A 15,179-nucleotide genomic window follows, 5' to 3' on the forward strand; every position below is an offset into this window, starting at 1 on the left:
GCCCTAGAAGTAAAATGGATGTAATTTGTCCAAGAAATACAGGTGAGCAATAACTTCAATCTTTTATTATAGTTTATACTTTTAAATAATTAGCAGGTTTTTTCAACTCTAAGAAGTACCCTGAAAAATACTTATTTCTCAGTAATATATATTTTTAAGAGATGGGGGTCTCACTTTGTCACCCAGGCTGGAGTGCACTGGTGTGATCATAGCTCACTGCCACCTCGAACTCTTGGGCTCAAGGGATCCTCCTGCCTCGGCCTCCCAAGTAGCTGGGACTACAGATGCATGCTACCACACCCAGCTAATTTTTAAAAAAATTTTTGTAGCAATGGGGTCTCACCATCTTGCCCGGGCTGGTCTTGAACTCCTGGGCTCAAGCAATCATCCCACCTCAGCCTCCCAAAGTGCTAGAATTACAAGCACGAACCACCACACCCAGACTTAAGTAATTTTTATGGTAGTTCAAGGACAGCTTAGCACACTCACAGCGCTATTATAAAATGTGCCATGCAAATCAAGTAACGTGCATACATACATATTATAGTGCTTAATTCTTAATTTAATTAAATTATCCAGTATGAAATAACAATATTATAGTTTGAACTTCACTCTTATTAAGGATGAAACAAAACTAATTTTCCTAAAAGGCTTGAGGACACTCTCTGGAAGCGCACTCTTTGGAGAAAGAATAAAAATGCAAATACATTTGTAGTTAAAACAAATGCTATTACAATGAAAAGATCTTTATTAAAAATGGACAAGTTCTACTCAACAACTCAATTATTTGAAGTAATATCCAATCTAAAAAAATTCAAAATGCAGTCAAACAATGTTGAGAAATCTCAGAAGTCCCTGTGAGCAGGTTTCCCAGTAGAAGGATGTCAGATGCAGAAGGATCCTTAGGGATGACCTAGTACATTTCTATTCAGTCTAACTTTCTGCAGTGATGAAAATGTTCTATATCTGTGCTGTCCAGGATGGCAGCCGGCAGCCACATGTGGCATTTGAAATGTGGCTACTGTGACTGAAGAACTGAATTTTAAATTTTATTTCATTGTAATTAATTTCTATTTAAATAGCCTACGTGGATAGTAGCCAGTGTTTGGACTCCACAGATGTAGTCTTTCTTGATACCCTACTCTAATGAAACAGTCACCAGGGCAACTGAAAGAAGATTCAGGGGTTTTCAGACATATGTAGATACAACTACAGATGATTAAATCTGTAGCTTTTTGTTTAGAGGTTCTAAAATACACCTAATTTTATTCAACTGCATCAGGCTACTTTTGGTAACTCCAATTCATTTTAAAAGAAGGATGAAAATGGTCAAATATTCCTCTTGAAGTAATTTTGGTTTTATAGCCCATATAAAAATGAAGGCATATGAGGACCGATGTGGTACGTAGCTATATCACATAAAACATTAAGAAGTCAGGTTCAATCTATCATCTAGGGCATTCATCCCCCTTTTGCATGCAGGGAATTAAAGAGGTAAATGGGCCCCTGAAGCGTGAACTTACAGAGCTCAGAAATCCAAGAAAGAGAACAGCCTCTCCCTTCTACTGAATTCTAGTCATTTATTGCTACTTAGTCCAAACACATATTGAACACCCACTTTGTCCAGGACATTAGATTGAGCACTGTGAAAAATAAACACCAAGACAAACAATACAAGGTGTCTGTCCTCTAGAAACTTACTACTTTTTAGGGTAAAAATGCTACACAACAACTATAAAGCCTGGGCACAGTGGTTCATGCCTGTAATCTCAGCACTCTGGGAGGCCAAAGCGGGAGGATCGCTTAAGGGCAAGTGTTTAAGACCAGCTTGGGCAACATAATGAGACTCGGTCTCTACAAAAAAAATTTTTTTTTTTTTTTTGAGACGGAGTCTCACTCTGTCACCAGACTGGAGTGCAATGGCGCGATCTCGGCTCACTGCAACCTCTGCCTCCCGGGTTCAAGTGATTCTCCTGCCTCAGCCTCCAGAGAAGCTGCAACTTACACGCCACCACACCCAGCTAATTTTTTATTTTTAGTAGAGACAGGGTTTCACCATGTTCGTCAGGATGGTCTCGATCTCTTGACCTCGTGATCTGCTTGCCTCAGCCTCCCGAAGTGCTGGGATTACAGGCATGAGAGCCACCATGCCCGGCCAAAAAAAATTTTACTTAGGTAGCTGTGGTGGTATGGACCTACAGTCCCAGCTACTCTGGAAGCTGAGGTAGGAGGATCTTGCTTAAGCCTAGGAATTTGAGGTTGCGATGCACTGCACTCCAGCCTGGAGGACAGAGCAAAGCCCTGTCTCTGGAAAAAAAATAAACAAAAAAGACTATAGTAAAGGTTATGCATACTGGCCTTACCTTTTCTCTCTACCAATCACCAGTTGCAAATGATCAACTATCACCTTACACAAAATAATTCCTAAATCTCTCGGTAAGTGATTGTGGTTCAAGGCCCACATTTTTGTGTGCTGGACTACTCTCCCTGAATATCCTGAACTCAGTTCAAGAAACATTAACTGTGCATTAGCCATGGGCTAGAAAATAGTAAGATGCCCTGGAAAAATTGGGCCTCATGAATATTCAGACATTTCGTGGCTATATGATGCCTAATGTAACAAGTACATGGAGTTGTGCACAGGTACTACTGTGAGCACACAGAGGAGTTTTTAGTAGCGGCTGAGAGGACAAAAAAGGATACTCAGAGGAGATAAAAACTGAGCTGAGTCTTGAAGGCTGGATTAAGAAGCAGGCAAACACCATGACAGAGAACCACAAGTAATTTAGAGTCATTAGACCATCAGGTTTCAAGCAGGAAAAGTGGCATGAAATGATGCCAGAGAGGTGGGCAGAGGCAAGGTCATGGAATGCCATAAATATCACCAATAGAGTTGAAAAGAGATGAAATGCCATGGAGGTTTTAAGATCTATGCTTCAGATAGCTCACTGTGTGTAAGCAGCATGAAGGATGGATTTGAAGGGATCAACTGCACACAGGGGTCGACTAGGTGACTCTTACAATATACTAGCTGAGTCATGACGATGGTATGGAGGAGACAAGTGTAACAGAAATAGAGCCGAAACTCAAGAAGTATTTAGGAAGTAAAATTATGACATCATACTGTAAGATGAGGAAATGGTAGATGAGCAGAAAAAGGTGGCTGAGGCAGAATAGGGCAGCTAAGATGATTAACAAGTTCTGGCTTGAGTGAATGAATAGATAAATGGTGGAATCATTCAATGACAGAATGTGGAAGAGTGGTGACAAGGCTAGTTTTAGGTACTTGTGGAATATCCAGGTGAATAAATCCAATAGTCAATTAGAAGATGGCAGAGAGAAAGAGCAAAAGAAAAAAGATTTGCATATAACCTGCATTAAGTGGTATTGAAAGTTCTCACTATGTTAAGTGCTAGGAACATAACAAAGAACAAATCACAGCCTCATACAAGGAAGCTTATAGAAGATGACTGTAAAACATCAATTACAGAACTTTGAGTGGTAATGATGTGTCAAGGTAGGTTCATCAATTGTAGCAAATGAACCACTCTGGTGGGGGATGTTGATAATGGGGGAGGGTGTGCATGCCTGGGAGTGGGGGATATATGAGAAATCAGTGTATTTTGCTATGAATCTAAAACTGCTCTAAAAAAAGAAAGTCTAGGTCAGGCACGATAGCTCATGCCTGTAATCCCAGCACTTTGGGAGGCCCAACGTGGGCGGATCACCTGAGGTCAGGGATTTGAGACCAGCCTGGCCAACATGGTGAAACCCCATCTCTACTAAAAATATAAAAATTAGCCAGGCAAGGTGGTGCGTGCCTGTAATCCCAGCTACTCAGGAGGCTGAGGCAGGAGAATCGCTTGAACCCAGGAGGCGGAGGTTGCAGTGAGCCAAGATCATGCCACTGTACTCCAACCTGCGCAACAGACCAAGAGAACATCTCAAAAATAAATAAATAAATAAATAAATAAATAAAGTCAATTGCAGAAGTGATAGTCATGCTGAACACTAAAAGTCAAGCAAGCACTAACCAGGCAGCAGGGAAAGAGGGACAAGGCCAGAAAAGAAACAGTGACATATGTATCCTAAAGTATAATTGTTTTGGACATGCTGCCCTTGAGGAATGGAATAAGACGAGCTTTTCCTTTGAGATAACAAGAAAGAGAAGCATGAGGTATGTTGAAACCCTTAAAATAAAGAAACTTAAAGAATTTACCTTTTAGATGTCCTCAAATCTCTCCGAGAGGTATTAAGTAGGAGCAGACTGATAGTGGAATGTCAGTAAATGTTACAAAACAATGAAAAGGTTTGGAATCCTAGAGTAATAAGGAAATATATAAAAGATGGCAACAGGAAACAAAGGCCTAGTTAAGATTGAATAACATGAACTCTTAGCAAGGCCTATCAGTAAGATTTGTTATTCCCTCTCTCCCTCCTTCCCTCTCTCCTCTCGCCCTTTATTTCTTCCTCCTTCCCTTCCTTCCCCATTACAACTGTGCTCTGCAAAGTGTGCTCCATGGAATACTTGCTACAAAGGAAGTCAAAAGCTGTTACATGGAAGCTGTTTATAAATAAGTTTGAAAAAAAGAGGTTTAATTAAATAAAGCTAAGCATGTTTCTTTACTGTAAGACTCCTCAGAGCTATTCCCAGAAGGAGGATATAATACGCAGTACATTCCCCCACCTTAACTATTAACCCTTTACTTACGAAGTGTTAATATTTGCGTAATACAACCTGGGACACAGTGGACCAGAAGAAAAGGGATGAACGCAGTGGAGACTCAAAAAACAGAAAGCACAGTAGGAATAAGGGAGTAGAAAACTAGGAGGCTGTGGTGGGAGAAGAATTCTGAGCTCATGGCTTTAGAGAAGGAGCTGGCCCAGGGGATAATCAGGTCCAAGCTCTGGTCATTTGTGGTCACATGGGTTAATAAAGTAGAAGGTCTCACACACAGACTGGGTTTGACTAGTAAATGGTTCATCAACATGAATATCAACTGAACCGAAGTTGCCCAAGGCGATGCCAAGTAACAGGAGAGAGGAAAAGAGGTGTCAGAGATGGGCAGATAACAAGAATGGGAAGAGGGAATATAACCAGATGGCAAAGGATTCAAAGGAACGAAGACTGTTGGAAGCTGGTAGGTGCTTTCCCTGAGGCTGTGATGCTGCCGCTTTTTTTTTTTTTTTCCCAGTAGAAACAGGGTTTCACCATGTTGGTCAGGCTGGTCTCAAACTCCTGACCTCAAGTGATCTGTCCACCTCAGCCTCCCAAAGTATTGGGATTACAGGCTTGAGCCACATGTCCAGCCATGTGGTTCTAAATGATGCCAGATCTAAGGCTATGGGCCATTAAGGCCGCCTTCTGCTAGAGGGTTTTCTTCTTCTTTCTACCTTGAATTCAAATCTTTGAACTTATTGGGCCTCCCTAGCTTTACTCAATTAGTTTTTACGATGAATCTTCCCCTTTCCCTAGCCATTTTCAATTGACCTAATGTTTGGGTAGTATGTTTAATCTGATTCAGCTTCTTTCCTAGGTGCTATGTCAAAGACCGACTCTGACAGCATGTGCCACAGTCCATAGATAAAAATGAGATGTCACTTAGTTACTTAAACTCCCTAAACCTTGGTTTTCCATTCTTCATTTGTAAAACAGAAATATTAATAGCATCTAACTCATGAGGTGGTTGTTAGAATTAAATCAGATAAAGCATACTGCTGACACTATAGTTGGTACATAGAAAACTCTCAGTAATAAGCACTACCACCTCCATCGCCAAAGATAACCAAATAAGATGATCCAGCAAACACAAAGGAGATATTTACAGGGAGGATCTTGTAGAAGAGGTGAGTCTGGGATGAGACAGGCCTATGCCTGCAACAGATAGAAGTGTCCAAGAGAAGTGAGGCTGGAATAGTCTGCAACTTAAGCAGCAGGCATGGAAGAAGGAAAGGATTACAAAGGGAGACAGGAGCCAACTATCAGGAAAGAGGCTATGCATATGGTTACTTAAGGCAGTGAGCAGTTCCAACATTGCACTCCCAGTGGAAGATGCCCTTTGTTTATCTTAGAGCTAGGCTTCTCAGGACTGAGGCAGATTAGACCAAGAGCAAGACTTCAATACATATCACTTTGGAGTTCATTTGAAAATATTCCATATTTCATTATGCTGGAAATGGCCCTTGTGGCAGAAAATGTCTTTTTGTAACACTTTTCATGTAATCAAAGAGCATTTGTGGTGACAAGGCACTATGTCACTCAGCTTACTAAAAACTTCATTAACACACTATAAAGAAAAATTATTTAGCCAGCTTAGAATCTGACAGACTCTTGTAGTAAATCATTACCTGTCATTATCATCACAATAAATCGAGGATGAGTATTTTTCTCTACTAGTACTAATAGTAAAATAAGGAGAAAGACCATTGGCTTAGTCTTTGGTAAACCACAGCACTAACAGCACCCCCTCATATAAAAGGACCAATGGACCTATTTAGTCTTTGATGAGCAAGTTTACCGCTTGTTTAGATAGGCTACACACTGAAACAATATATAAATTTGAAAAACAGATCTAACGTTCTGTTTTTATTTACTCATTATTTTTACCTTCAGATAAAAATACTACAATAGTCCTTCCAGGGTTAAATATGAAATGTTACATGTAGATAAGTGTTCAAAGCATACTCAAAAGGACTATAGAATTTATTTTTATGAGTAGGAACATAAGAAGAATAAATGCAAATTAACAGAAATTATAAATCAAGGCATCATGTTTAACTGTGTTAATAAAATACAAACAAAACAAAACAAAACCCAAAACACTTCAGAGCTAGCTGATAGAGATATAAATCATGGGCAAGATTAAAACACAGAATTATCTTCACTCCTCTAACAGTAGATTTTTGGATAATGAAATCAACACCACAGCAACATTTAAAAGGAATAACTTCTACTGCTATTTGACCCAAATGAAGGGTTAGAGTTATAGGACAAACTAAGTACTAGCTTAATTTCATTATTAGAATATAAGAGAAAGTCTACTGAATGAATTTTCACTTTTCAGTATCTATAACTTCTAACCTCTTTGTCCACCACATAAATAAATACAATCCAGATAGTGTTTTGCAAACACAAAATAACAACTCTAACTTCATCAGTGATCTAGTGCATAGAGGGCTCAACTAAGACTGATATTCCATGGTAACTCATCAAGTTTATAAAAGCAAAGTGCCTAGTTCCAATTGGAGTAATCTGTCCTTTGGGATATGCACTATTTAGAAATCATAAATCATAAATATGAGACCATCAACATATGTCCCAATTCAAAAGCACTCATTAACCAAACCAGGGAGAGAAATTCCACATATTCCATACAAATATAAAAGTCACAATTGATCTGTTTCAATATTTTAGTGATTCTGATTAGTTCCCTTTTGGCTCCTATAGTTCTCATGAATTAAATTGAGCTGTAAAGTAATGCAGACCTTATGATTCCAGAGACTGTGAGTCACCAAGGGAAGAGGTCCAAAAAGGTTAAATTTCCACTGAACTCCAAATCAGAGGTTCGAAAGCTAGAGAGATAAAGACATTAGCTGTAGTCTTATGAAACATTTAAGGCTGCTTTCATTTGATTAGGAGTTTGGTACAGGCTCTTTGTGACAAATATAACAAAGATACTTGATATTTTTTAAGCTTTGAAGAAAATCCCAGAAAACAGATTATCTACGAAGAATGTTAAATCAAGCTAAGTAATAATGTGTTTATATACATTCAGAAACTTACTTCAGTGTTATCAAAAAACCAAACCAAAACAAAACAAAAAATGACCACCAAAAGGCTATCATGGAAGGAGGCCACATTCCTTCAGTTACTGAATAACGAAATCTGTTGTGATTTAAAACAGCAGTTATAACAATTTACCGCCTTAGGTCAGCTTTTCCCAAACTATTCTAAAAAGCACTAACCCTCCATGAAATGTTTATAGACAGTTTATAGGATAAAGGGGTGGGGATAGGAGGAATGAAGAGAGAAGAAAAATCCTCTAACAATATTTTTGTTCTAAAATTTTTAATACACAAAAATACTGAGTATATTTGATACAGTTAAAATTACCATGAGATAAGCTACTCATAATAGCATGCCACACCTCAGAAAGCCAGGATGTCCACAGTATACCACATATGCATGAATGCATTGATGCTCAAGTGATGCATAAACATACAACTATTGTGTTTTACGTTATTGAATCATAGCTGATTTGTGCTGTGATTTTTGCCTAATAATTTCAACATATATTTTAACTTTTTATTATATAATAAAGGCATAAATCAAAACTTAATTTCTTCCAGCCATTACTTTGTGTATGTGAAATAACTTTTTGTAATCTATTTTAATACAAGTTTATGTTCTTTTTTCTGAGTTTCTACTGATGCTCTGTCAATACATTATCATTTTTAAAGTTTTCCATAATCACAAGTTCAAAAACTGTTATTTTAGCTAAACACAGGTATAATAATACATGCCTCAATTTTGGAGACAATGAATTATGTTGTACCTGTTTTTAAAATTTTAAATGGCCTTTCTCTTTCTGCCAACTTGGAGCCTGTGGAGGCCTGCTGGGAACAGGAATACTAAAAGGAAGTATGTCTGGAAGGCTGTGGTCCAAGGCCATTTTTGCTGAGCATAAGTGGGGTCTCCAGAACCAAAGACAGCACACAGCTCTTTTTAAAATAGAAGGTGCTTATGCTCAAAATGAAACAGAATTCTGTTCGGGCATAAGATGTACTTATATATACAAAACAAAGAACAACAAAGTGACTCCTGGTGGCAAACCAAACAAAACCAGAGTAATCTAGGGAAAGGTAACTTGGTCCCAGGGAAATAGTGGCATGGTTCATGCCAAATTCTGAAGCAATCTTCCTGCTAAGGCCACTGGACACAGAATCTGTGTGACGCTGTACCCCTCAAGCATTTAAATTAATGAAAAGTAAATAAATAAAAGTGGATTTGTGCTCTTGGAAAAAAAAAAAGTAAAAAAAAATTTAAATGACAGAAACAGTTCTGAAGAAAAAGACAGATATAATAACATGATCAACTTAATTTGCATCATTCAAAACTCAATATGATGTCCCATTTACCTTTTAAATTAAGTAGCACATAAATAAAAATGCAAGTTCAATACTAATAGAATTACACACTCTTATTTACAGTGATAGAGGCTTTAAACAGTCTTTCTCTGACAAGTCATAGGACAAGAGATGATAGGAGAATGCGTAGTCGATATTTTAATAACTACAGCGAAGACAAAAGATGCACAATTTCTAAGTTGCAATAATCTATTTTGTATGTATGATTTGAAGTAAAGACTTTATGCTATATATCTATATTTAAATTGTGGTTTACAAAGAGAAACATATTACTAGCCTCATCACAGCAACAAAATCATTCTAAAGTCTAGGTTTTTCATTTTTTACTTTTAAATGTCCTCTCCTTCCTGTACTCCTATCTCTCACTCTCTACCTTTACCAGCCACAGATGCAAAAAACAAAAGCAAAACCAAAACCACTTCATTTTGTTATTTATGACAGCCTTCATGGAAAAACCAATGGAAGGATGAAACGAAAGGCTTATACATTTCTATCTTTTCAATTCCAGACATAAAACTCAACATGGAAAGGAAGATGAAATAGTCACTAAAATCCTTAGGCTTCCTTTCAACAATTAATCCATTTTCTTAAGAAGTTTGCTATATAAATCAATTGCAGATTTAAAGCTCTTTATAATAACATTTTATACTTATTGTGAATATTCAAAAAGTACATAAAAATATATATGTATAGTCTAATGAATAAATATAAAACAAATATCCAAGTCCAGAAATAGAAGCCAACATTGCAGAAACAGAAGAAACCCCCTTAAAAATACGTCCCCCATGCCCTTCAGTTACTACAGCTTTAATGTAAATTTCACAAGTTAACACACTATAAGTGAAATGAAACAGTGCCACAGGTGTTGTAAAAGAGGAGTATTTGGCTGGGCACAGTGGCTCATACCTGTAATCCCAGCACTTTGGGAGGCCAAGGTGGGTGGATCACCTGAGGTCAGGAGTTCGAGACCAGCCTGACCAAGATGGTGAAACCCTGTCTCTACTAAAAATACAAAAATTAGCCTGGCGTGGTGGTGGGTGCCTGTAATTCCAGCTACTCAGGAGGCTGAGGCGGGAGAATCACTTGAACCTGGGAGGCAGAGGTTGCAGTGGGCCAAGATCGTGCCACTCCACTCCAGCCTGAGTGACAGAGAAAGACTGTGTCTCAAAAAAAAAAAAAAAAGAGAAGTATTTAAAAATTCCTCCAAGATGCATTGATAGAGGACTTTTATAACATATAGAACATTTTGTTCAACTTTCCAGTGAAAAATGCCAGGAGTAAGTATATTGATTCATTTAGAATATAAATTACAGAAGTGTTTGAATTTAATTTTGTGAAACACCACACAGGAGGGCCATAAAACACAGATTGTGTGTTTGTAGCACTTCCAGCAGCTAGCAGTGAGGAAGACCAATATTAGCCCTGAAGTTGCAGAAAACACTAAATAACAGCCATTTCGACTCAGTAGCACCTAAATATATAATTATAAATAACAAATTAACAGATTGGTCTCTGTGATCTTTGCTGGTTTCTGAAAAACTAATAAAAGCTTAGGTAATACTCCTTACTTCCATTCCAGTAGAGGTGCTCACACACCAGGGTGGGCTTCTGGGCACCTTACCTCTTGTGCTAGAGACCAGAATGTAGGTAATTACAGTACCATGGATTCACAATGACTGTTGACATGAACTCCTCTCGTTGTAAGGTAGTTTGGGTTACAAAATCCTTTACTTACAGAATTAATCAAAGGAAGGTTTTAAGGAGATAAATATCAACAGCTTCAAAATAAACGTAACTGCAAAATATTAATCTTAATACGATGTCAAATTTAATTCTTTTCCTTAATAAAACAAGCCACTCAGAGTTCAATGTGACATTTAAGTAAAGAATTTCCAAATTCTGGCTGGGAGCAGCCGCTCACACCTGTAATCCCAACACTTTTGGAGGCCGAGGTGTGCAGATCACTTGAGGTCAGGAGTTCGAGACCAGCCTGGCCAATATAGTGAAACCCTGTCTCTACCAAAAATCCAAAAATTAGCCAGGTGTGGTGGTGCATGCCTGTAGTCCCAGCTACTCAGGAGGCTGAGGCACAAGAATTGCTTGAACCTGGGAGGTGGAGGTTACAATGAGCCGAGATCATGCCATTGCACTCCAGCCTGGGCAATAGAGTGAGATACTGTCTCAAAACAACAAAAAATTAGAAAATAAAAATTGAAAATATTGCGAAACCCTGCTAATAAACAATGTTTAAGAACCCTTAGTTTAAGGCCGAGCGCGGTGGCTCATGCCTGTAATCCCAGCACTTTGGGAGGCCGAGGCGGGCAGATCACGAGGTCAAGAGATCGAGACCATCATGGCCAACATGGTGAAACCCAGTCTCTAATAAAAATACAAAAATTAGCTGGGTGTGGTGGCGCACGTCTGTAGTCCTAGCTACTCGGGAAGCTGAGGCAGGCAAATGGCTTGAACCCAGGAGGTGGAGGTTGCAGTGAGCCGAGATTACATCACTGCATTCCAGTCTGGTGACAGAGCTGGAATCCATCTCGAAAATAAAGAACGCTTTATAGGCCAGGCACAGTGGCTCATGCCTATAATCCCAGCACTTTGGGAGGCTGAGGAGCGAAGATTGCTTGAGCCCAAGAGTTCAAGACCAGCTTGGGTAACAATGGTGAAACCCTATCTCTACAAAAAAATACAAAAAACTAGCCAGGTGTGGTAGCACATGCCTGTAGTCCCAGCTAAACGGGAGGCTAAAGTGGGAGGAAGTATACAGCCCCGGAGGTTTGAGGCTGCAGTGAGCTGTGACAGCACCACTGCACTATAGCCTGGCTTTAAATAAAAAAATAAAAGAACCCTTTATAAACAAGCATTCCTAGTACAGAACATAAGACACTGAAAATGCAAACCAAATATATTTTCAACTTAAAACCAAAGCAAACAATTGTTTCCCTTGCGCTAAAAATCTTTTCTTCCACCAATCCCACCTATATAGGTATGTCTGACACTTACTTCTCACTAACCACTGCAAGCGTGGGCAATGTTGTCCCTGTGGGTCATGACTTGCTAAAGTTCTAGAATAATATCTGGAGATTTGATGGATAGAAAAATAAACAAGTGTATTAAACATCCAAGGTATTTTGTTAAGTACACTGATAATGACAGAATAGCAAACAATCACAGGGAGAACCCCCTTCAAATCTCTAGATAAGCTTTACACAAATTTCCTCAAATCTCCAACAAACACAGGAATGGATGAGCAGACAATTTATCAATTTGATGGAATATTATTGCAACCATTAAGGCTAAACATTATAAAATTATATAACACAGAAGATTTTATAATACAGCATAAATTTTAAACATACATTTATGTCTAGCTATAAGACATCATATATATGGGCAAAGACTTAAAAAGAATACAACAAGAAATAAATACTTAGTGTAGTTGTGGGGACTTCTCCAACCCTCCATATGTTTACAAAGTAAATACAAATCAGAAGGTCTGGTTGAGGGCGGTGGCTCACACCTGTAATCCCAGCACTTTGGGAGGCCGAGTTGGGTGGATCACTTAAGGTCAGGAATTTGGGACCAGCCTGGCCAACATGGCAAAACCCCATCTCTACTAAAAATATAAAAATTAGCCGGGCAACGTGGCGGGCACCTGTAATCCCAGCTACTTGGAAGGCTGAGGCAAGAGAATCGCTTGAACCCGCGAGGCAGAAATTGCAGTGAGCTGAGATTGTGCCGCTGCACTCCAGCCTGGGTGACAGAGTGAGACTCCATTTCATAAATAAATAAATAAATAAATATTAGAAGGTCGAAAACGCAAGGACTCTTCTCCCTAAATAACTGTAAAACCATCATCAGCACCTGAGTAATCATCTCATATTTATGATCTACACTAAACACACCAAAACTTGCTATATATTACCCGTTTCAGGCATGCTTCTGGGCAAGGTCACCAGATAAAGGGGAAACAAGGTCCTGTCTGAGTATTCTGATTAAGAAGAGAGAAACAAATGACTACTTCATAGCAAGGTGACAGAGGTATTGTAACCAATGGCATGTTTTACTGCCATCTCAAGGTATCAAATTATACATTACTTCTTACCCCAATTAACCATCATGTCCAATTTAAGCTCAGAAAGTTACAATACAAATGTTATGTCCTGATAACTTAAGTGACAAGGATAACGATTATATCGGTTTGATCTACTTTTCATCATATCAGATATTACATTGCTGTTACAGTGAAAGACATTTAGATTCAAGGATATCTGAGATATCCAATTTCCAGACACAAGGATAAGTCTTCCATTATTTATGCCTGCCTTGTAAAAGCCATATGGGTCAAAAGCTCAATAAGATAATTCTGAAATTACTGGCACTATCTCGAAATGCAGAATTAGTTTGGATTCTATTAACGTGATGTAAGAGTTGCCCTTAGCACCTAGGTTTTTTGCAGAAAGTAACAAATTAATCCTAAAATTCAGAGTGAAATGCAAAGAATCCAAAAATAGCCAAAACAAATTTGAAAAAGACCAAAGCTACAGGACACACACTTCCTGATTTTAAAACTGACCACAAAGCTATGCAACCAAGACTGTGTGGTACTGGCACAAGGATAGACATATAGATCAGTGTCACAGAACTGAGAGGCCAGAAACAATCCTTACGTCAACTGGTTTTGAAAAGGTGCCAAGACAATTCAACACGGGATAGAAGAGTCTTTTCAACAAATGGTGCTGGGACAACTTGTTATCCACATGCAAAATAATGAAGTTGAACTCCTACCTTACACCACATATGAAAATTAACTCGAAATGGATATTCACATGGAAAATAATAAAATTGGACTTCTAATTTACATCATATACAAAAATTAACACAAAATGGGTAATGGTCATAGTGTAAGAGCTAAAGCTATAAAATTCTTAGAAGAAACATAAATCTTCATGATCTTAGATTAGCTTCTTAAATATGATCCCGAAAACAGAAGAAAAAAAATGATAAACTGACTTTGTCAAAATTAAAAATTTTTGAGCTTCAAAGTGTAACATCAAGAAAAAGAAAAAAAAAAAACACAAAATGGGAGAAAATATTTGCAAGTCATATATCTGGTAAGGAACCTGCATCTAAAATATACAAAGAATGCCTAAAATTCAATAATAAAGACAAAAAATTTGAATAGGTATTTCTCCAAAGAAGATATAGAAATGGCCAATAGACAAATGAAAAGACTCTCTCTGCTAATGGTACTATGAAAGTGATATTCTTATCCACTACTGGCAGCATAGTAAATTGCTACAATTAATCTGTGGAAAAATGATTTTATGACAAAAGTTTTTAAAAGATTTTTAAACAAATGTTTTGTGCCCTTTGACTTAGTCATCTAATTTCTGGAAATCACCTAAAGAAACAATATCAAATATGGGAAAATATATATACATATATAATGATGTTGCCACAATGTAACTGAAGGTAAAACTGGATGCAACCTGTATGTTTGAGAATATAAGAACCATTATATTCTCAAAATCTAATCATGGACTATTATACATTCCTTGATAATGCTGATAATGGTATGAAAATATAACAGAAAATGTGTATTCTAAGAGATGAAAACAAAATTCAATATTAACTCCTAATTGTATTTACCTAAAACATACATATAAAATAACAGCAAATTTATAAAACTAAAAGATAATTATCTTAGTGTGGCAGAATTATGGGTATTCTTCTCAAACCTTCTTATTGAGTTGTCAATAATATTTTCATAAAGAAATAAGGATACTTTTACCTTATCCCAGAAATCGATCAAAGCTGTAAAGTCCCATTTCTTAGAATATGCCACATTGTATTTCAGAATAGCATCCTGTGGAAAATGCAGAAACAAAAAAACGTCATGGTATGGCCAAGTGAATGACCTATGAAGAGCCTGTCTCTTATGAATTACCTCCAGTACATTTCATAATGTTAGACAAGCTTCCTACTACCTCCCCCTGCTACTGATATGGACATCAGTAGCTACA

General features: G+C 37.8%; 1 protein-coding gene and 1 pseudogene across 15 annotated transcripts in view; one reads left to right on the forward strand and one right to left on the reverse strand.

Moving 5' to 3' along the window:
* PARG (poly(ADP-ribose) glycohydrolase) overlaps positions 1-15,179 on the reverse strand; it is a 123,749-nt gene that overhangs the window by 82,691 nt on the left and 25,879 nt on the right. For 12 of the 15 annotated variants that reach the window (NR_130169.3, NR_136752.3, NR_136753.3 and 9 more), the window contains one exon: positions 14,948-15,022. Coding sequence is in view for 7 of the 15 variants with exons in the window: in NM_001303486.3 (NP_001290415.1) it covers positions 14,948-15,022 (75 nt within the window). In the remaining 8 variants the exon portion in view is untranslated. Of the gene's footprint in view, positions 1-7,485; positions 7,573-14,947; positions 15,023-15,179 lie in introns of all 15 variants that reach the window. The other 3 variants (NR_136754.3, NR_136756.3, NR_136755.3) reach the window with 1 other exon arrangement.
* RPL35AP24 (ribosomal protein L35a pseudogene 24) lies at positions 8,581-9,020 on the forward strand (annotated as a pseudogene).

Source organism: Homo sapiens, chromosome 10, assembly GCF_000001405.40.
Source record: "Homo sapiens chromosome 10, GRCh38.p14 Primary Assembly".
Lineage (NCBI taxonomy): Eukaryota > Metazoa > Chordata > Mammalia > Primates > Hominidae > Homo > Homo sapiens.